Raw genomic sequence first — 23,549 nt, 5'->3', positions numbered from 1 at the left:
GTTTTAAAAAATTATCTGTTCTCCTTCTGTAACCAATTTGTTAATCACGTTTTGGTGACTGACTTTTGGGCACATTTCCCAGAAACTTTAAGGCAACCCTTAATAAACACTAATAAGTCTGCATGCAGAAGCAGCCTATTATTATTCATGGACAGTATTACGTAGAATTAAACTTTTGGAAACTGCACCAAACACATTCAGCTAGACATGAAAGTAAGCTGAATTTCCATTTGGTTTGCTTCTTGCTGAGCCTTCAAATTATAAAGTGAAACAAAGCCAAAAGATTAATACAATGAAAACAAAGATTGGGAAATTAAATGACACGATGCAATTTTCTGCCTCATCGGCCTGGCACCAATAATATGCAAAGGAAAGTCTGCTTAGTGTTGGTTAGCTGCTGTATAAATGCAGGACAATCAGTCTCCTTCTCGAGGGAGACTATTTTCTTGAATCATATAGCCATTGACTCTTCCAATTACCAGAGCCCCCCCACACAGTTCGGCTTTATCTATTTTTTTTTAACTTGCTGCTGTACTCTGCCAAGGTATTATTATTATTAGCGTTTACACAGGTACATGCTTTTACCTTATCTGAAATATTTTAGTGATAGCTTCAGAGCATATATAAAAACCTGGAGCCTACTACCACAAATATAATTAAATAATAATAATATTTTGGAAAATGGGTCTTTATGGGCAGTTGGAGGCCATAATGGAGTATCTTTAAATCACAGCTATCAGAGGAACATTAGCTCACGGTTGATGTCTCACATTTGGGCCTCTGTTGACATGCCACTCATAATGTATCATTGCTGATCATTGTCAAGATTTGTTTTAAAGTGATCTGGGTAATAAGAAATAGCTCTAAGCCACCCCTAATGTTATTTGAAATTACTTTTATCACAGTTGTATTCAAAGGCTGTCATGTTTATACTACCAGAATTCTCCAGACGATTCAGAAGTCCTCTGGAGAATTAAATTGTGCATTAACTTTCAAATTTCCCTCTAACTCTGCCAGACAATATAAACCAGTCAACACTAATCCATCTCCGGCAAAGTGTGGTGTACCATATTTTATCTGAGGAAGGAAAATAAAGAACAGACTGCTGCAGGCCCCCAGCACCTTGGAGAGAGAGTGTTCTCTCTGATATCACTTCTGGGTTATCTGCAGAAAACAAACTTGAGTATAGAGGACTTGCCCCATGACCCAAGGCCTTCAATAGGCTTCTTGCCCATTTTTTCCAAAGGCAAATTCTTTCTAAAGGGAAACGTGTGTGTGTGTGTGTGTGTGTGTGTGTGTGTGTATGTATGTGCACATAATTGTTTTTATTCATTGCAGTAATAGAGGGCAAAATATGCAAAGGAAGTAATATTTGCTACAGTTGATAATCAACTCTCTACTTGTTTGGTAGACTCTACTTAGTTATTGTACTCTGGAATTTTCTATAAAAACTCATTTTTAGAAATCAGTTTTAGACTTTTTTTCCCCTTTGGATTTCTCAAGTGTCTCTGGAGATATTGATTTCAAATTTTCTATTTAAGCAATCAAAATGCTTAAAAGATGTGTAAAATTATTTCAAATAATGACAAATGAAAACTAAAGCTGCCTTGCGGTCAAACATCCAGAAATGGAAAGGAAACAATTGGGATGAATCATATGGACTAAAGCAGAGTGAAGAGAAAGGACCCTTACAGTTGCCAGATTTTTTTCCCTGTTTTCTTTTACTTTTTTGCTGCTTTTTTTAAAATATAAAAAGGTAGATATTAGAATTTTAGAATGATTAGCTTAACATTCACTCCAGTTTTGTAAAACAATGTGCCCTGTTTTTTTCTTGCTGCCTTCTAATTTGTATCTTGCTTACCTCCCAAATATGGTTGGGATGAAGATAGTCAAAACCAACTGTATTTGAGACTCTCTGATGTGGTAATTTTGAAACATGATAGTCAGCCTTGAAAATAATGAAGCAGAAATATTGCATTTCTTATCCTGACTCTTCTCATTATTATTATTTTTTCTTCTTAATGGAAATAAACCACCTTTACCCTAGAAAAAGAATACTTCACATTTTGTACAAAATTCTGAAATGAATTTAGGACCGACATTATATCACTTGAGAGAAATACACTGAAATGTGTAATCTCACCTTTTGGGAGCTTAATCAAGTGCACAGAGACTGAAGAATTTCTTTTTGGTTTATTATTAAAATGAAAGCTTCAGGTTTTCCTCACTGCCTTTCTTGAAACAGTTCGGCATGGGTAAGTGCATGGGTTCTGGAGTATGACGGCCCTGATTTGAATCTGGCCTCCACCACTTAGAGCTATTGGCCTTGGGTAAATTACTACATAGCTCTGTGCCTTGGTTTCTTCAGCTCTCAAATGGGGATAATAACAGGACCTTTATCACAAAACTGTTGTGAGTACAAATTGAGTTAATACACTTGAAGTGCTTAGAACAGTGTCTGTCTCTTTTGTCAGATGTTTTTCATGGTCTGAATCTTCTTAAATAATAAAATAGTTCAAGAAAAATAAAGGTTAATAAAAAGATGGCGACAAGCCCCTAATGATTAGTAGCAGTTTTCTGGGCTGTAAATGTTCTTTTCGATTTTTCTTTATACAATATTTCAGGGACTCTTGATGCTTTCATTACCTTGGTGGAAGGAAAAGAAGGAATGAAATACAAAAGCATAATGGGCAAATTTTTAATAGAATGTCTTCCCAGATGAAGGAGCATTGCAAGTGCTTCAGTCTTCAACATAATCTATGGTTGCTGAACTTAATAATAAAATGCATTTTGACTTCATCTACTTTTTTTGTTCATTTAAAGAGAAACATGATTCTTGGTGCACCATCAAGAAAAAAAGTTTTATAAAATTTCAAGGGACTAAAATGCTTCTACAGTGGTACAAATTTGTTATCATAAAAAGAATATAATCCCGAGAAGGGAAATAAAATAAGGAAAGATTTTGAGAAGTTTCTTTACTTTCTAGAGAATATCTAACTATGTCCTCTGGTTATTACTAAAAAGCTTTTCTATAGGACCAATGGTGGAAATTGCTATAATTTATATGATTCCAGCTGAATTTTTGCTAAATCAATTATCTCTAAGTGTGTAACTCGATATGGATGTCCTTATTCTCAGCCCTCATGAAACGTTTTTCTGTAATGTGTTGATTTTTCTGTTTCTATGACAATGATGAAATTATAAGGATTTTTTTCCCCTCGGAAATGTAAAACTATTGGTAGAACCTAAAAGCCCCTAGGATTAATTTTTATTTAAATTAAAATATGTTTTGATGACGACTGTAAATGACACTGGTAAAATCATCACTTGGCTTTTGGCTTCTGAAAGCATACTTTGAACTACAATTTCAGGATGCTGATGGTGGTTCAAAAAAGAGAACCCCTCCATTTTCACTTCATTCACACTCCATTGAGCTATAGAAACAGGAGTTAATCCTGCAAGAGTAGTAATTTTCAAGTAAATAACCCCAAGAACCCTGGTCAGACTACCCTAAGATTTTTTTAGTGATAGTTTATAAAGTTTAGACTTTTGCTTCAATCAGTCCATCATTTACTGAAGGGTTAAAGATGAGCTTTGGAAAAGGAAAAGGGGGAGTTTTGGTGGCCATTTCCTTAAGCTTTTAGCATTCCCGCATGGCAGGTTGAGTCACACCCGTCTTTATTAAATGACGCATAATTCAGTGATAAATTGGCTTAGCTCTGCTTGTTACAAGTTGGTCTTGAGGTGTTACAGGGGTCAGCATAGAGGCACCGTGGCTGTTTCATGTCATTAGTTTTCTATGAGTTGCAATGTGTAACTACTCTAACACATGTCTTTCATTAGTGGCTACAATGCATGCTTTGTGTGTGAACATCCTTAGAAGGTAAAAGCCAATTTAGAGTGTTCTCACCTTCCTTTTATGGCAGTGAATTCCATCAGCCTCACATGTGTGTGAAGCTAAAGGCTTTTGTGGTGGGGTCAGGTTCATTTCCCATTTGCATTGCATCCTGCCTGGCTGATCCAGGCTAGAAGCTCTCTCTGAAGTTAGTGGGTGTTGAGCACTGAATAAGACCATAGTGTCAACTTGCCAAATTTCCTCCTCTGTGGAGTTCAGAAAGCTCTTATAATCCCACTTCCGTTACAAAGCTTTCTTTTGCTAAGTGGAAGACAGTGAATTATTTTCTTCCATTAACTCAGATATAAAACCCAGACTTTTGTTTTCTATCAACACGTACACCCCTTGCCCGCCCCCCTACTGGTCCAAATACTACTGACAATGCAATTAGCTTTTGGTAAGGTCTCTGTGTGTGCAAGTAGTTACCTACATGTTAATATGTTCCTTTTGGGCAGATAGATCCTTAGTTACTACAAAGCTAGAACTTGTAAACTCGTCTTGTAGAGCATCTACAGTAATAGTGAACACATGTACATTTCATAAAATGATGAAGATCATGATTTCTGTGCCACTCAATCTTCACCCCTTGTTTAGACTTGTTTTCCTAGTTTAGATTAGATTTGTTTGGAAAGAGAGTAGTTTAGCTGAAATAGGGGAGTCTCTGTGAGAATATGGCTTTGAGTTGGACCAACAGGGGTTCACACCCGGGCTCTATCCCTCCTTACCTATGTGATAATCTCATGTGATTATCTGAGTCTCTGTTTTCTCAGTCGGAAAATGGATATTATAATATTCCTCTCCTGGAGTTGTTGTGACTGTTATATGAGATATTATACACAAATGTTCCCAGGGAGGTTCCTGACACACAGTCAGCACTCATTCATTCATTCATTTATCAAGTATTTTGAAGACCATGTTCCAGGCACTCCTCTAAGTAGGGAGGATAAAAGAGACAAAAAGAAAATTCTCATAGTGAGATGAGAAAGATAATAAACATAGTAAATAAGTGTACTATATTGTGTATTAGACAGTAAGTGGTATGCAGAAAAACAACGTAGATTATGGGGTATGGCAGTTCTAATGCCATAGGAGGGTCAGGAAAGGCTTCTTTGGGAAAACAGCATTTGAGCCAAGACTGAGAGGTGAGTAAATTGTGTGGATATGTCGGGGAAGAGCATTCAAGAAAGAGGGAGCAGCTAAGGGAAGAAGTGTCCATTGAGGTTGGGGCAAGAGTGCAAGAGATGAGACAAAAGGGGTGGCTTCACTTTAGGACCTTTAGGACACTGTGAGGACATGAGCTTTTATTTGAAATGGAGAGTCATTGGAGAGTTTTGACCAGAGGAATAACATGATTTTATTTCAGTGTCTTCAGTTGAGTTCTCCTAGAAACAGACTCTGAGATGTATTGTTGCAGGCAGTGGATTTATTTTGGGAATGTTCTCAGGAGCAACACCTCTGAGGGGGTGAGAGCACAGGATGGAGAGAGCAGGGAGAAGCTGAAATGGAATGCTGCTGCAACAGAGGCTTCCACTGATCCACAGGGAATCCTGGAAGTGGCAGGGTCCTCCAGAGTTGTCCCAAATCGAGGCAAAGGGATGGAGCTTTTGTATCATCACATTGACCAGTCATTGTTTACACTTTAGAAAAGGGCATAAACTTCAGAAGGCAGCTCCCTTTGAATGAGGACAATTCCCAGAAGGGGATTCAAATGTAAGCCATTGGCAGCCAATGTTTTTGGCTGCTGGGGTAGCGAGTGCCTCAGTCCTGAAAGGAGGAATCTGGGTGAGGCCCCACAGCATCATGTTTTATAAGACCAGGCTGGCTGCTACCATAGGGGGAAAGAGTGAAAGGAAGATGACCAGTTCATAGGCTACTGCAAAACTCCAGAAAAGAAGTGATAGTGGCTTGGACCAGTGTGGTGGTGTGGTGGAAATGAGGAGATACAGGATTCTGGATACGTTTTAAATGGAGGGCTGACAGGATTTGCTGATGGATTGGATGAAGGATATGAAAGTAAGAAAGGAGTCAAGGATAATTCCAAGGTTTTTGGCCTGAACAATTGTAGAGATAGTGTTTCTATTAAGGGATGTGGGGAAGACTGAGAGAAGTAGGCTTGGGAGAGGGGCAATCAGGAGCTCAATTTTAGACATGTTGAGTCAGACTTGCCTATTAGATATCCAAGTGGGTGTATTCAGTAGGCGTCTGGATAGATGAGTTTGATCTGGAGAGGTATTTTTGGAATCCTTGCCATATACATGGTATTTAAGACTATGAAACTGGATGAGATCACCAAATGCAGTGAATATATAAGAGACATTCTAGGAATGCTCCCTGAGATCTAGATTCCTTTGGCTATCTTTATGATTAGTAATAAGTTACCACCTTAGAAAAAGAAGATCCTTCCCCCAGCAAGCTATGGGGATCCACTTATAGAAAGATAGTGGTAGAGAGAATAATGGTCCCCCCCAAAATATTAATGTCCTAATCCCCAGAACTCCTGAATTTTTGTGTTGGTTTTGAGACAGGGTCTCACTTTGTCACCCAGGCTGGAGTGCAGTGGCATGATCTTGGCTCACTGCTGCCTTGACCTCTTGGGCTGAAGTGATCCAACTGCCTCAGCCCACCAAATAGCTGGGCCTGCAGATGCACACCACAATGCCTGGCTAACTGTTTTTTTTTTTTCTTCCCTGTATTTTTTGTAGAGATGATGTTTTGCCATGTTGTCAAGGCTAGCCTCGAACTCCTGAGCTCAAGTGATCCTCCCACCTCAGCCTCTCAAAGTGCTAGGATTACAGGTGTGAGCCACCGCACCTGGCTTTGAATATATTATTTTACATGGCAAAAGGGGCTTTGCAGATGTGATTCAGTTAAGGATCTTGAGATAGGAAGATTATCCTGGATCACCAGTGTAATAATAAGGTTTCTTAAAGAAAGGCAAGAGGATCAGAGCCAGAGAAGGAAATGTGATGGAAGCAGAGGTTAAAGTGATGTGCTTTGAAGATGGGAGAAAAAACCACAAAACAAGGAATGCAGGCAGTTTCTCTAGGCTGGAAAAGGCTAGAGCTTCCAGAAGGAGGGAAGCTCTTCGAACACCTTGATTTTAGATTATAAAACTAATTTCAGACTTCCAGTCTCCAGAACTGTAAGATAATAAATTTGTGTCATTTTAATGCAGTAATTTGTTATAGCACCAATTGGAAACTATTGAGCTAAATACAGTTGGCTTTGCCCTGTCTTGCCACACAATTTAGGAACAAAATTTTGTGTTGGGGAATTAGCAATAGGTAACTGTTAAGGATCTAAAATACTGATGTTTGCTTGTAAATAAAAATTCCTTTCAAATATTATATCTCTAGATCTATGTATCTATCTAGCTATGTATCTATCTATCTATTGACCTACCTGCCTACCTACCTGACTATCCTTCTATTAGCTATCATCTTCCTTCCATCCATCGAGCTATCCAGCTATATGTCTGATAAATTTAAAAAAACTTAAATAATTGTTACAAATTGCCTAGTTCTCTAGGATAGTATTACCACTTTATGAATGTAAGACTTACACCATATTGGCTAAAGATCACTACCTCCTTTTAAATATATCATCTAGATAATACATAAGATCTATAAACAGAGAGAAAATTTAATAACTTACTTTGTGTTTCCATTAGGTATGCTTTATGATTTATATACAAAATCTGCATTTGTTTGGAGGTCTTCTCTGAAAGGTAGCTAGTCAATTTGTGCTTGCCAACATTAATGATGCTAAAAGTATAATGTAAAATTCACAAACCACATTATTTTGCTTTGCATTTTAGTTTAAATTAGTGAGATTTAGTTCTATCATTGGATTTTGGAAAAGTTTTTTTAAAAATTGTATTGGTGACTGCATTTCTTTGCCTTCTAAGAGACTTAAAATTTTTACCTTCCAATTATTTTGAATATGAGACTCTGGAGCAAGGGGTTAAGAGCATATGTTTTGGAATCAAGTAGTACTAATTTTAATGCATGATTTTGGCCATGCACTAGCGTGGGCAAGTTATTTTTCTGCTCTGAGGCTCAGTTTCCATGTTCATAAAATGGGAATCATAATTTCTTCCATATAGGAGTGTTCCTTATGGGTCAAGTAAGGGAATATATGTAAGCCCAGGGCTTGGAACATAGTAAGTACTTAAGAAATGGTGGCTGTAATGATAGTTATTATTATTCTTCCATAGTAGCTGAATTAGGAACAGAAGCCTCAAAATCTATCTGAGAATTTATGCCCCTTGTGCTCTTTTATTTTAATAATCCATATATCAGGCCTTTGGTATTCTGCTGCCCAGCAATTTATAGGCCGGTTAGCCCTGGTTGCTGGACACTTCCAGCAGCATGACATTGTCATACATGTCACAGACAGTGCAGGGAAAGAAGAGTTCACCGCCTCCAGAGGCATGTTATTCACCTGCTCCTCCACCATAAGATTTGCTATGTCTTTGAATGATCCCTTGGTTATATTTTTATTTTATAGCACCCTGCATTGACCATTTTGCAAAATAACGATGCTCTTCTTATCAGCTCATCTTCTGCCAGTCGGTAATTTATCTGAATGGGTTCTTTCAGCATCAATATATACAGTACAGGTGTAGGTGAGGCATTGGCTGTAATAACAGTGGGCCGCGGTGCAGCAGACAGGATTTAAAGTACCTATTGCTTACACCAGTGAAATGGATGCTAAGCAGAGTTTGCTATTTTCTAGAAGGGAAAACATCTGGAACTAGGTACAAATTGTTCCCAGAAGAAAACCCCTTTGAATGCTGGTGCTCATTTGGAAGTCTGGGTAGTATCCATATTTAAGCCTGTGCTCTGTTTATATCTTTTATGCTTCATAGAAAGGCAGCTTGGTATAATATAATCAGTTGTGTTTAGTAATTTTAAGGGGGAAAATACCCTAGACTATAACTCTTTTCTACCATTATCTTTTTTTCCCCCTATACTGAGAGAAGATACTACTATCAAGACTGCTTCAAGGAAAGATTTAATTTTTATCCTACCCCCACCTTTCCATCCCCTTTTCAAGTTAAAATGATTTTAAAAGTCCTTTAGGAAGATGCTGAACGCTTAAAGATTATCCTTATGTCCATTTTCCAGTAGTTAGTTTAAAGCGAATATTTTTAAAAGCTCTACTTTCCACTGTCTTTGGGTGGGAGGGCAATGGAAATTGTAGGGAGAGAAGGAAAGCATGTTGTTGAGGTTGGGGGAAGGTTGTCACTTCCCCAAATTTCTGCATTTCCTCTCTTCAATGGACAGTTGGAAAACCTCTGTTGTAGATGATAAATTGAACTTTATTTGCTGCCTCTACGTTTCTCCCCTACCTTTTATGTCTGCTTACTGTTAGTGTGGAAAAAGTGAATGCATTTTAAGCAAATTTAAAAAATGTGAATTTTAAGTGAAAAAGAATGAATTTGAAGCTTCTATCTAAGCCTAAAATATCTGAACTCCTTGTGTCAACTTTGATGTCATTGGAGGCCATGCTGATCACTGTCATAGCTTATGAAAGTCATTTGGCTTCCAAATATTTCTACATAGGAACATTTTACTGAAGCTTTATTCATAACATTTAAATTATGCTTTAACCAATTCCGATGATTAATTTTATCCTTCCAGTATTCTCAGTCCCCATCCCCCTTCCCACCCCCATTCCTGCCCTTCTGCCAGGTTTCCTAACATAGATACTCAGGAACAGCCAATCAAATATGTTACTTGGATCTTGGTTTTTCTTAAGGAATTGATCTGCTCTTCTGTCTCACACCCTCTATGGCTACCTTTTGTGCTTCTTTGGGTCTGTAATCATGTTGAATAGAGCAGTAGATTCACAAATTATGATTGTGAGAGTTAAAGAACAGTGTCTCACTGTTAAGGCAAAGGGTAATGACTTAAAGCATTTGCTAGTGTTTGTTATGAATTACACAACAGCACTTGTACATGTGGAGGGTTGCAGTGCAACTGCAGAGAGTAATCAAGCTGAGTTTCCCACGGGACAAAGCATCATGGGTGTATTTACTAATGAATGGATAGTTTCCTGTACTCCAAGGAGACTGTGACTTCCTTCCAAAGACCTATATGTGTGATCCTCATGGTGAAAAGGAATTTCCCAGAAATGGGAGTCTAGGGAAATAATAATTATTTCTTTATGCTGCAGAGATTTGGGTGAATATTCATCAGGCTTTTTAAAAATTCATAACTTGTGAGAAAAAGTTTTAAGGCAGTTTTTGTTCAGTTGTGAATATAATTATGCCTTCAACTAGTAATTGAGGTATAAGTAATTCACTTTTGAACATTTTGTAATTAGTTGAGACGTAAATACTGGATCAAGGATTTCAGTGATAGAGTTTCCATTAGGCTTCATGCTTTGTATTGCTATTTTTCCTCTGATGCAATTAAAACATTCCTAAATGTACTCAAACATATGTGTGGGTATAAACACAAATGCTTACATAAGTAGGAGTATCATGTACTATGTCCAACCTCAAAAAGGCTAAAAATTTAATAAACAGGGCAACCCTGTCATGAATTCTAACTGTTTCCTGATGAGATAAACAATGACTCTTAATTAGAAGCTAAAATTTTTAATTAAGATGATTCTGCAGTAATTATCCCAGTTGTCTGCTTCACTGGATTTTAATGAAAAAGATTGATTAGGTATAAAACTAGTAGCATAATTAAACATTCAGGGTTGCGCTGGCCACTGAGGTGAGAGTAATGTGATTAAATCCTAGCGTACATTCCTTAACAAAGTATTTTAGACAGTCAAATCTGGTGCAGTGTCTGAAAGCTTCATTTTTATGTGTAGCTTCAACATCTTAAGGTAAAAAAAAGATTCAGCCACAACTGATTCATTTATGCAAAAATATTTATTGAGCACTTACTATGTGCTGAAGCCATGCAGTGGTGTAAGGCATGATCTTTGGAATTAGATACATTTGTTCAACATCTCAGTTCTTTTATTTAGAAGACTTGGGATATTGGAAAGGCCCTATAACCTCTGGGCACAATAGTTGTACCATCTACAAAAGCAGATAATTAATACTTTATGTGGCCGTTGAGTTTGTAAATGAGTTAGTACATGTTCCTACCACAGTTCTGGTACTGAGTAGATGCCTATAAATAGGGGCTATTATTACTATTTCCCTTATTTTAAAAAATGTTCTATAATTTCTTTCAATCAGTCACAGTAAATATGGTGTGCAGATTCCTACTAGTTTATAGAAAACTTAAGCAGAGGCAAAAATTATGTTGATAGGTGATGTTGAGGACTTAAAAGCATGATGGTATTAATTATCTTTGCAACAGTAGTAAACAGATGTTAGAAGTTCTACAAGTTAATATTTTCAAAATTTGAAGGAAATTCTTTCTCTCTTTTTTGCCTTAGTAAGCCACTTCCTGGAAATGCAGGAAAACTGGCTTCTGGAATTGCTTCATTTTCTTATTTGCTTTAGACTGTAGGGTTTAATGAACAAGTTTCTGCATTTGCAAGGATCAATTCACATTATCTCAACTAGTCTCTGTTGGCTGGGGATACTTTGTTTGCCAGGAAGTAGGAATGAGTGAAGAATGTGTGTACAGTGTTGGACAGATTAATCCAACCTAGCTTTGTAGACATATCCTAACTTTATAATCCTGGTCTCCTTGGCCCTGTGCTGTAACTATGTGAATTAGCCACCTACAGACAGAACAAACATAGTGTGACTAGGCATGAGTGAAGAGGAAATTCAGAATAATTGAGGTAGTTAGAGGTTAATCACCAAGTACTTCATAGAGCACAGAGGGAGTTGCAGGCAATTTGTACCATGAGGTGATACAATTCCTGTGCCAGTGAGGTTCTAAGGCATCCTTGAATATTAAGATTATGAGCACTGCATTTATAGCCAGACCGTCAAATCCAGTCTAGAGACATGGATTTGAAACTTAGATCCTTGATTTACAAATAGTATAATCTTGTGCAAGATAGTTTTCCTTTCTGAGACTTTCTTATCAAATGTAATAATCTATGTAAAAATAACAAATCATGCAAAACATGATTCATTCATTCCTATATTTGTCAGTTTCTTGACTACCATATATATGGTAGTCAATATATACAATATATAAAATTTATATATATAGACTACCATATATATGGTAGTCAATATATACAATATATAAAATTTATATATATATATATTAAAAACAGTGACCAGCAGTGAAAATTCAAACGTAAATGAGACACACCCATGCCTTCAAGGAGCTTTCAGTTGACTAGTATATAATTCAACAGAAAATTACCATGTAGAGTGGTAACTACTTGGTCTAACAAGTAGTTAGGTCCACTATGGATGGCTTTGGGAGAGAGTGAAGAGCTGTCATTGGCAAGACTTGTTTATAAATGGACAATTAATTATAAATCTGATGAGTTATATGAATCTAGACCAGAGGATGGGGAATATTTTCCTTCTGGGCCTCCTGGGCCACCCAGTTCATGGTGCACAATAAGTTTCACCAGAATTTCATAAGGATTCCACTAAACTTGAACCCGAGGCTACCACCTGCATATCTGGGGGCTCCTTATGCCACTATGGGAATATATAAAAATGAGGACTGTGTTTTTGGCTGGTTTATTAATCTTACCAAGGAGAAATAATACTTCCTGCTTTTTGTAAAAATAAACAAACAAGTACCAGAATCTTAAATAAATATTTTCTAATAGATGTTGCTGTGGCCAGCTCATTAATATTCTTTCACAATTGTATTTTCAGCGTGGTGATAGTGGTTAGGTGACTGTCTAAAGGTTATAGCATGACAAAAAGCAGGTGTGGATGATTTCATAAGAAACTTAGCGAAGAAATAGATATCACCTGGAGACTGAGGTTTTTAAGACTGGCAGTCAGCTTCTGAAGATACCTTGCCAACTGATAGTTGCTAAACTTGACATTAAGTTGCTATCTTCTTTGGGGAACATTTGAGATTGTACATATGATGGTTGCATTATATTAAGGGTGGGACTCTTTTAACCTTCAAAAACAAGATGAAGGTTGCTTGTGTCAAGCACAAAGGAAATCAGGCCATGAGCTAGGAGAGTCCGCAAGGAGATTCTCTTATGAGGTGGACAGGTCAGTTGCCATGACCTCTGTTACTGAGATGGCAAAGACAAGGAAGCTCAGCTCAGCCTTTTTCTTGTGTGGGCATCTGGACACAGGATGCTGCTGCCCATTCCATTCTTCTCTCCCATTTTCTGGTATTTTGTTGTGAGGAAAGACCATACTATAACACTCATTCTACTTACAAGGTTGTTAGCTAATGCTGCCTGCAAAGCAGAATAGTGGAGGTCAGTAATGTTACTGTCCTTTTAAAAATTATTTTATTTTTATATTTAAGAGACAGAGCCTTGCTCTGTTACCCAGGCTAGAGTGCAATGGTGCAATCATAGCTCATTATAATCTTAAACTCCTGGGCTCAAGGGATCCTCCCACCTCAGCCTCAGCTAGGACTACTGGCATGCACCACCACACCCAGCTATTTTTTTTTTTTTTTTGTAGATACAGGGCCTCACTATGTTGCCTAAGCTCGAGTGATCCTCCCACCTTGGCCTCCCAAAGTGCTGAGATTTCCTGTGTGAGCCACCATGCCCAACTGTTACTATTTTATATGAACTTTTTTGGAGTAGGTGTTGGTTCATTATTTCAATTTTTGAAATATAGGAAAAGTAATTTAGGAAACATGCTTGAGATGGAAGGATCCCAATATTAGAAGATTCTCAGTAATTCATCACTTTTGAACTCAAAAGCCACTTACTTTTTGTTATGTTAATATGGAAAAAAGATGGTTCATAACCTGGTCATTTCTGCTCACAAAATTTTTTAAAATAAACATTCATATCACTTATTTTGCAAAACAGAATATTCCAGCTTGTGGCACTCAACAGTTAATTACTGATACTCCTCTTGTATGTATCAGCAAATGGGATAACAGATGGGAAGTGAGTGACTGTTTTATATTAGTGCCTAATTAGAATGGAGTTTTTATTTATTAATATGAAAGATTACTAATGTGTAGTTATAAATTACAGACACATGGATATTTTATGAAAGTGCAGAATTGAGGTGTTATTTATAAAAATGTATCTACCATTAATATGACTCTTATAATAACATTACTGAATTGCAACTGGTTGGAATGTGTCTTTATTTCCTAGCAGTCTGTGAGTTCCCTGAGGCAAGAATAGACATAGTAGACGTTCAGTAAATTGTGTAGAAATGAATTGCTTTAAGTTATAATGATGTGCTTGTCATCACAAAATCACACTTAGAAATCTAAGAATTTATATTTAAATTCCTCATATAATTTGTAGCCAGTCTGTTGTTACCCGGGTGGTTGGATAATATGGCATATGAATTGATTTTTTTTTCATATATGACTATTACTTTTTTCTTTTCCTTCAAAATTTTAGCATTAAATATAATTTAATTGATAATATGCTTAACTTAAATATACTTTATTTCTAATAGTCTCTCAATCTAAATTTACAGGTTTCAAGAAATTTGAATGTTTCATGATCCCTGGTTGCAGTGAACACTATTCATAGTGTCAGTATACTTTTAAAAATGTGATTATACTGAATATGTGAACTTTAATGACCTGCTGTGTACAACTGCTTAAAGGAGTGGCTTTTGAGTGAAGTTAACGTGTATTTACCTTCTTTCCCTGATTACAGTTTTCTCCCATCAATCTAGTCTATAACTCAGTGAGGACTGTGACTGGATTTATTACAAAAATAGGTAAAATTGGTAAAAAAAAATTCAGCTATAACTTGGAACCATGGGATGGACACACACACACACACACACACACACACACACACACACACACAGGCTTGTGGAAAATTAAAGGCTTCAGGCAAATTAAAGTTTGAAAACATAAATTATATGCTAAGCTGGTCTCTACATGCAGTGGAGAAAGTTCTGTAAGGATGGCTATAATATTTGGAAGAAACCATTGCTGTGATCTTTCTATGCATAATTAAAAGACCAGAAATATACATTTAGGAAAATAATCAAATACCACAGAGACAAAAAAATCTATATTTTCCTTACTGCATAAACAAAAGCAGAAATAGGGGAGTTTTTTTCAGTATGATCTTAGAAGCATGTAGATTTTATGACTCATTAGTAGGCAGTGTTTATATGTCTGTTCTAAAGGTTTTTAAAAATTTAACTGATGGCTATTGTCTTCATTAAGCAAGCATGTTGGATAAAAATCAAGTTCTTGGGTTGGGTGTGGTAGCTTATGCCTATAGTCCTAGCACTTTGGGAGGCCAAGGTGGGAGGATTGCTTGAGGCCAGGAGTTTGAGATAAGCCTGGGCAACATAGGGACACCTGGTCTTTACAAAAAGTAAAAAAGTCAGCTGGGCGTGGTAAAAGTCAGCTACCCATCTGCAGTCCCAGGTACTATGGAGGCAGAGGTGGGAGCATAGCTTGAGGCTGGGAAGCGAAGGCTGCAGCAAGGTGTGATTGTGCTATTGCACTCCTGCCTGAGTGACAGCACAAGACGTGTCTTGAAAAAAAAAATTCAAGCTGTTTTTAAAAGCAATCTTAGTATACATATTAGGATAAAAATTACTGTTAAACCTGACAGAAAACCAAACCAAACCAAACCAACTTTCTTATTGGTGAAAAGAGAACATGTATATGTTTTATTTCTTATACTAGTAATTACTGGAGGTCTTGAAAATAACAGAATAAATATGTAAATAAAATTGTAATACTTTGCAAACATCAAGAGACATTGTTCCACGTTTTCACAAATCATTCAATATGATCTTCAGTAAGCTATAGAGGTACATTGAAATGACATGCTTCCCAACAGCCACTTGTGAGGTTTAAATGATTCAAGGGTTGTCAGGGAGTATTGACGGGAAGTGAGTATGCAGAAGGCACTTCCACATTGACAGCTCAGGAATGACTTGGACCTAATTTTAGTTGGTTTCTGTCCAGAAATAAATGAAAAAGATCTTTGTGTAGGATGAAACCTCTTATCTTTGGGATTCAAAGAGAAAACTATAATAACTAGGATTAGGCTTAATCTACAATCATCATAGTAATTACACCAGTGAAACAAAATGCAGAGTGCAAGATATCATCCCCTTTATCCTGCCAGGCTTCGCAGCTGCTAGCCCTTCAGATCCACCCATTGTGAAAGTAACTCAGAGAGAAAGAAGTAATGATTGAACTAGAAGTGAAGTGCTTACTAAATCACTATTCAGAAGTGAGCAACCACCTAGGAAAGTCATCACCTTTTGAGTTCCAACACTAACCACATGGATCCTGAGAAAATGGTACAATGGCAATACCATGAGACACATTACCCAGTGACGAAAACATTTGATTATTTCAGTCAGCAACTATTTAATGAGTGTACTTTATTCCACTCATTGCTCTTGGTGCTGGGTTGTTTAACAGTGTGAACCAGATAGCTCAGGTCCTGGCCCTCATGGCAGAGACAGTCTTGCTGAGGGAGAAATCAATAATAAAAAGCAATTATATTATAATATCTTCAGAAGAGCACTGAAGTGGCACCTAATCTAGAACACAAAAGGGGTTCTGAAAGAAGTGTACTATGTATGAATGTCACATGTGGCAGTCACTATCATTAGATGAACTGATTCTGTGTTGGCTGGGTGGAGGCGATTCACTAGATATACAGAAATAGGTGTGGAAGGAAGAAGGGGAAATAAAATTTTAAAAATCTTGCATAAAAATTAGCCTGTGCACAAAAACTATAAAACTCATTTAAAAAATCTGATGCTAAGGAAGAAAGCCAAAATAAAGATGAACATAAACCAAACAATCAGAACATGAACTCATTCTGATTAGTTAATTTGAGAGAAGTCTGAGAAAGAATTTGAAATAATTGTTTAAAAAATAGAAAGTGTGAGATGAAACCAGAGAGGAATAAAATAATGTACTGGTAAATAAAAATGATCCAACCAAATATGATGGAAATAAAAATTTAGTCAATGAAACAAAAATGCAATGTATGGGACATACTCTAGAATGAACATAGTCAAAAAGAATAGTAAACTTGAAGAGGACTGAAGGATATCCACTATTCAGCACAAATAAAATATATGGGAGAGGAATTAAGAAACATGAAAGATGAGTTGAGTTGCTCCCATATTCGTTGAATATGAGCTTCTGAGAGGGAGGGGATATTAGAGAATCGATAAATGAGAGATAACTGTTAATACCATTTCTAGAATTTAAGATTATCATTCACATATTAGAAGAATACTCTTGAGTATGAAACTATATAAATAAAAATAAATTCACTTTTAGACATATTATAAGGAACTACGTTATTAAGAATAAAGGACACTCTTCAAAGCTATCAGAGAAAATATACAAATCATCTAAAAGTTAACAACAATTAGACAAACAGCAGCCTTTTGCTCTGGACAATTGATGCCAGAGAAAATGCAATAATATCTTACAAGTGCTGAGGACAGATATAAGTATACTTAGAGTTCTATACACAAAAATCACGCAAGAATGAGGACAAGGTAAAGAGAATTTGAGATGCATAGAAGGCAAGAGAAATTTATCATTCATAATTCCTAAAAATTTTTTCTTTGGCAAGAAAAAAGGTGAATGCAGAGGGAAAATGTAGAGCATGAGAAACAACAGTGAACACAGAAATTAATAAAATATGTTGACCAATGTAATCAACTATCGATTACAAAAAATGCTTTCTTTGTTTAAAAGATAAGTGAAGCTCTATATAAAAATAACCAGATGTGGAGTTGTTCCAGGGTTCAAAATATGTTATACTCAATGTTTTAATTATAAATAGAATTGATGTACTAAATAATTCTAGATTGTGTTAGAAAACTTTTTGGTTAAGTTTCAATCTTAATATGCTAGAGGGAATCACCAAAATAATAGCAATGTAATTTACAGCTTTTAAATTAACAGAAGGAAAAACTAAAGGTAAAAAAATAATCAATCCAACAATAGGCAGGACAGTAAGGAAAGGACCATGAAATAAATAAAAAGAAAGCACAAAATCAGATGGTGGAAATAAGTCCAAATATACCAGTAATGCCATAATCTTAATAAACGTACATGACTAAACTCTCACTTTTTAGAGTGCGGTGGCTCACACCTGTAATCCCAGCACTTTGGGAGGCTGAGGCAGGTGGATCACAAAGTAAAGAGATCGAAACCATCCTTGCCAACATGGTGAAACCCCTTCTCTACTAAAAATAAAAAAATTAGCCAGGCATGGTGGTGCGAGTGCCTGTAGTCCCAGCTACTCGGGAGGCTGAGGCAGGAGAAACGGTCGAACCTGGGAGGCGGAGGTTGCAGTGAGCTGAGATTGAGTCACTGCACTCCAACATGGTGACAGAGAAAGACTCTGTCTAAAAAAAAAAAAAAAAAAAAGAAGTTGTATTATCAAGTTGTTACAAAATTCCTTCTGCTTTACTTTGCATCCAAGAGAAATTCCAAAACCAAGTGACACTGAAAGGTTGAAATTCTAGGGATGCCAAAAGATCTAATGTGCAAATATGAATTAAAGTTGGGGTCCTCAAATGAGACAGAACTTAAAGTTTAAAAAAGGATAAAGGGATACTCTCTAAAATAATTTTAAAAAGAAATTATCTTCCAAGATGTCACAACAATCAATAAATAAGTGTATATATAACAGATCACTTTCAAAAATACATAAAGCAAGAACTAAAAGGAATAACCAGCAAATCCTCATTCATAACAAAACTGATAGATTAAGAATATAAAAACAAGATCAAGAAATAAGAAACATCGAAAAGCAAAATTAATTCCATCTCTAACTCTCTATATGCATACATTGTATGCATAGATGTATCTCTATATGTCCATCTATATATCTATATATCATCTCCAATAATAGAGAATATATATTTTTCTATTTTTTTGACCACAAGTCAGTTAAAAAAAAGCTAGTTGAAAAATTGCCATGTATTTGGAAATATTAAAGTGTATTTCCAAATAACTTATGGGTTAAGGAAGAAAACACAATTTAAAAGTTGTACAAAAGTAAAAGTAGTACATATCAAAACTTGTAGGAGGCAACTAAGGCAGTATTTGAGGTAACTATTAAAAAGAAAAAATTGTGAAAATAAATGATTCATGTTCCATTTTGGAAACTAGAAAAATAAAAAACAGAATAAATTAAGATTAAAAATGATTAAAAGGAACATTAAAGATGAGAACAAATACTACTGAAGTTAAAAAACCCCCAAACATAGATCAACATAATCCAAAACCAGTCATTTGAAAGAACTAATTCAATGGAGAAACTTTTAGAAGGACTAATCAAGAAAAAAAGGATACAAATGAATATTTATGATGTTCGTTATGCTTGCTGTCCTGTGGGCAAAAAGTCTTTTAATTCTGACCCTGGAGTCTTACATCTTTTGCTGGCACCCATGAAATTGTGGCAGGCTAACTTGTTAACTTGCAAATAGGTTAAAATACACCATGGAATACTATGCAGCCATAAAAAGGATGAGTTCATGTCCTTTGCAGGGACATGGATGAAGCTGGAAACTATCATTCTCAGCAAACTAACACAGGAACAGAAAACTAAACACCACGTGTTCTCACTCATAAGTGGGAGTTGAACAATGAGAACACATGGACACAGGTAGGGGAACAACACACACTGGGGTCTGTTGGGGGTGGGGAGCTGGGGGAGGGATAGCATTAAGAGAAATACCTAACGTAGATGATGGGTTGATGGGTGCAGCAAACCACCATGGCACGTGTATATCTATGTAACAAACCTGCACGTTCTGCATATGTATCCCAGAACTTGAAGTAATTAAAAAAAAAATCTCACACCCTTCACTGTTCTTGACAAAACATAGGACTTTCATTAACAGCTGCAGATTTGGCAAGATCCAAAATTTATTCATGATAAAATTTTTTTTATAGCAAACTAGGAATCAAAAGGAACTACCTTAACCTACTAAAGCATATATAGAAAAAACCTATAGTAAACATATGTAATGATAAGATTTTAGAATTATTTCTACTTAGATGGGGATCAAGACAAAGAATTCTGCTATCATTACTTCTAGTCAGGCTTATATTGGGTGTCGTAGACAACGAAATAAGACAAGACAAAGCAATTAGAGGTATAAGAATTAAAAAGGAACTGAAAACTGAGATTAAAGAGAAAAAACTCAAGGTAGTCTACAGGCAGACTAATAAAATCAGTAAGAAGTTTCAGCAAGTGACCTAGCCTTATGAGCAGACTTAGGGGAGAGAAAAAGATGGAAATCAGCTTTCCCCTGGGAATATTGTTTCCCCTCACCCACACTTTAGCAAAATAGTATTCCAACCTTCCAGCCACTATAACTTCCCTTTTAAAATGCATTCCAATTTAGTAGGAAAAGTGAACATCCTTTATATCACGGAAATGCATTATACTTACATGGCTTATGTGACATTTTAGAATTTTATTCCAAGTGAAAAATGATGTCAACAAGATTTAGATTCAAATCCTGTAGACATTAGTTGAATACCTACTGTACCTTTGATCTGCAAGTATAAGCAGTATTTCTTGAAAAAGAAAATTCCCTCATAAGATTTTGAATAGTCCTTATAATAATAATCAGTTTCAGTGAAATATTACCTCTGTTAAGATATATGAAGTATCACTGGAATTGCACTTTTGGATGACAACCTGTCAAGTTTTCACCCATTCTCTTAGGCAGAAAATTCCTTTGTAAAACAACTTCAGTGAGAAGTTACAATGGTATATAGACACCATAGTATCTTCCAATACCTTTGCCTGTAATAATTATTACATTAAATTATTAACCATTTTGCCTGGTTAATAATTATTTTCAGTTAGATTTTATAGGGAATAAATAGAGAAATATTTTCTTTCTGAAACACTGTGAAATGTTATGGTAATATACAGCTTGAGTTTCTGAAGATCTTTACTGTCCTGGACTGGCTTGGTACCATGTCCAAGGCAACCATCTGTACCATTGCCTCACTCATTTTAAGGGCTGCCAATTCTTCTGGCTGAGGATCCTTTCAACCTTTAAGATAGTTACTAATAAGTCCCAGCACTGGATAGGGGCCAAGACATGCTTTTTTATTTTTCTTCATTATTAGTTCTTTGGCAGAGGTAGGAAGGGCAGGGTAGAGTCTCTGGGGAATGAGTGGTTATGTTCAGTTTATTATTATTTTTTTCCATTCTGTTATTTCTCTCTCTTTTTAGTTTGGATTTTTGTTTGCTCTTTGGAAAAGAGCCTAAAATGGTATTGGATTGTACCTTCTGTTCTTGTAGATGTATTTGCTTGTTCATATGAGATGAAAAATGTACAGTATTTTTGTCTCCTTTATAAAATTCCAGATACATGATAATCAATTGAAATTTTAAAATTCAGAACATTTTATCAGAACTAGAAAGATTACTTTCTTTTAGCAACTTGTTTCTTTTTACGACATGAGCTGTAGATGACCATAGCCTTTGTAATCTGCTTCCTCTTCTCTTGTCTTTCCTCTCCACGGAGCATTGGCCTGTTTTGTGATTGTTCCTCTTGGAGCTTGACACTTGGTGTGTTTCAGGTGTGTACACCTTAATTTAAGCCTCTTTTACCCTCTGATCTTTCTTTGATGCCTCCAATCTCTTGGTTTTAGAATTCTTAAAATATGCTCTGAGATCCATTTTTCCCTGTTAATTTTTATATCATGTGGGTACATTGATAAAGATGTCATTCTTATATAATCAGTTTTGTAGTGATTGAAATGCTAAACGTAATTATTAAGGTTCTGCTATGTGTCAAACCCCAGGCCTGGTGTGGAGGACACACAGATGACCCAGGCAGAGGCTCTGCCCAGGGATTCACTAGTCCAATGGGAGAACCACGGAGCTGACAACGTGAAGCTGGGTTTTAGACCCAGTCTGTGAGGATAGGGAAACTTTTCTGCAGGGGTTAGACCTAAACTGTATCTTAAAGGATGAGAAGAGGTTATTTTAAGTAGGGGAGAGGAGTTGGGTAGAGGGCACTACAGGCAGAGGGGACAGCTTGAGCAAAGTGGTAGGAGGCGCTTGCTATTTGAGACATTTGAGGAATGGCATCTGGCTTAGTCTTCCTGGTTTCGAAAGAGCATGAGGTGAAGCTGCAGAGCCAGAGGGGTACCAGTGCCTTGAATACTATATGTATGCCATGGTTCTCAAACTTTGATATACATCTGGCCTTTTGCCACTAATGTACTATTCATAAGAACTCAGCCAGGAATATCATGTTGCATAAGGAGAGCAGGCCATTCTTGATGAGAAATCACTGTGAGAACTGCCCTTTCTTTGAGACTTACCTTAGGAAATAGTCATGCTTTTTGGAGGAAAAAACGAATTTTCAGATAACCAAAATTTAAATGTAGGCAAGAAAGGTTTCCCTTGTTGAATACAAGTAGATTGCTGACATCATTCTCAGTTAAAACTAAATTTAACTCTTTCTTTAAGAAGCTTCATCCAATGTCATCTATGCAAAAAATTCCCACAAAGGGATACTTACAATATAACTTTAATTAAGAAGTTTTGTTTACGCACTTAATGAAATTTTGTCAAAGCATACTTTTTGAATTGTATTTATTTTTATGGCTCATTTTTTACTATTTTTAAGACCTCAAGTTGGTTTCTAGCAATTAAGCATACACTAAAATTTGGCTTCACCTGTAGTATTTGGCCAAATCTGCTATTCAATTTTTGCTATGAGATGAGCCTTTGAGGGTGGGTTAAGGGCTGCATGCCTACTTCAATGTCATTTCTAGTATCTTTGAATTTGTCTGCATGGTTAATGATCATGTGACTGCACTGGATAACATAAACTCTAAACATGTAAAAATGTCAATAATATGAATAAAGAATATCTTTAAATTTGTAGTTATCTTTAATTTTAATTTTTATTTTAATGTATTCCTAATTCCTAGAAACAAACTTGATTCTTAAAAATAGTTAAAATTTGTCATAAAAATAAACAATACAATTCGCAAAATTTAATTTAATTTAATCTTAATTTTTAGAGACAGTGTCTTGCTCTGTCACATAGGCTGGAATGCAGTGGCACTGTCATAGCTCATTGTAACCTCAAATTCCTGGGTTAAAGGGATTTTCCTGCTTCAGCCTACAGAATGGCAAGGGAATGTCACCACATCTGGCTAATTAAAGCTTTTTTCTGTAGAGACAGTGCCTCACTATGTTACCTAGGCTGGTCTTGAACTCCTGGCCTCAAGTGATCTTCCTACCTTGGCCTCCCAAAGTGCTGGGATGACAGGCATGAGCCACCACACCTGGCCCAGTTAATATCTTAATATTCACTTTTCATCAACTAAGCAACCTAAATGTAACTTAGTGAAGTATTCTTACACACTTCATATGTTGAGCTCTATCAGTCACTTGAAGTATAAAGTAAAATATAAATCATGAATTGTAGATTGTTATAGCTGTTAATTTAACTTTACATAAACACTCAAGATTTTTCTTATGGTTGAATAAGGAGCAAATATATAGATTATGATCATGAATTTATAGCATATGATAGCTAGATAACTTTAAGAAGAAGATTATTTTTGACCTGAGACAT

At 36.2% G+C, this 23,549-nt stretch overlaps 1 annotated feature.

Moving 5' to 3' along the window:
• Positions 2,839 to 4,559: an enhancer, noted in NCBI's record as "VISTA enhancer hs1452". NCBI's record gives its function as "enhancer in: limb[12/13]" and the evidence as "EXISTENCE:transgenic organism evidence [ECO:0001131][PMID:17130149]".

The sequence above is a fragment of the Homo sapiens genome, chromosome 6 (genome assembly GCF_000001405.40).
Source record: "Homo sapiens chromosome 6, GRCh38.p14 Primary Assembly".
Classification (NCBI taxonomy): Eukaryota; Metazoa; Chordata; class Mammalia; order Primates; family Hominidae; genus Homo; species Homo sapiens.
Note: the sequence above shows the minus strand (reverse complement) of the source record. Positions and strands in the feature narration are given on the sequence as shown.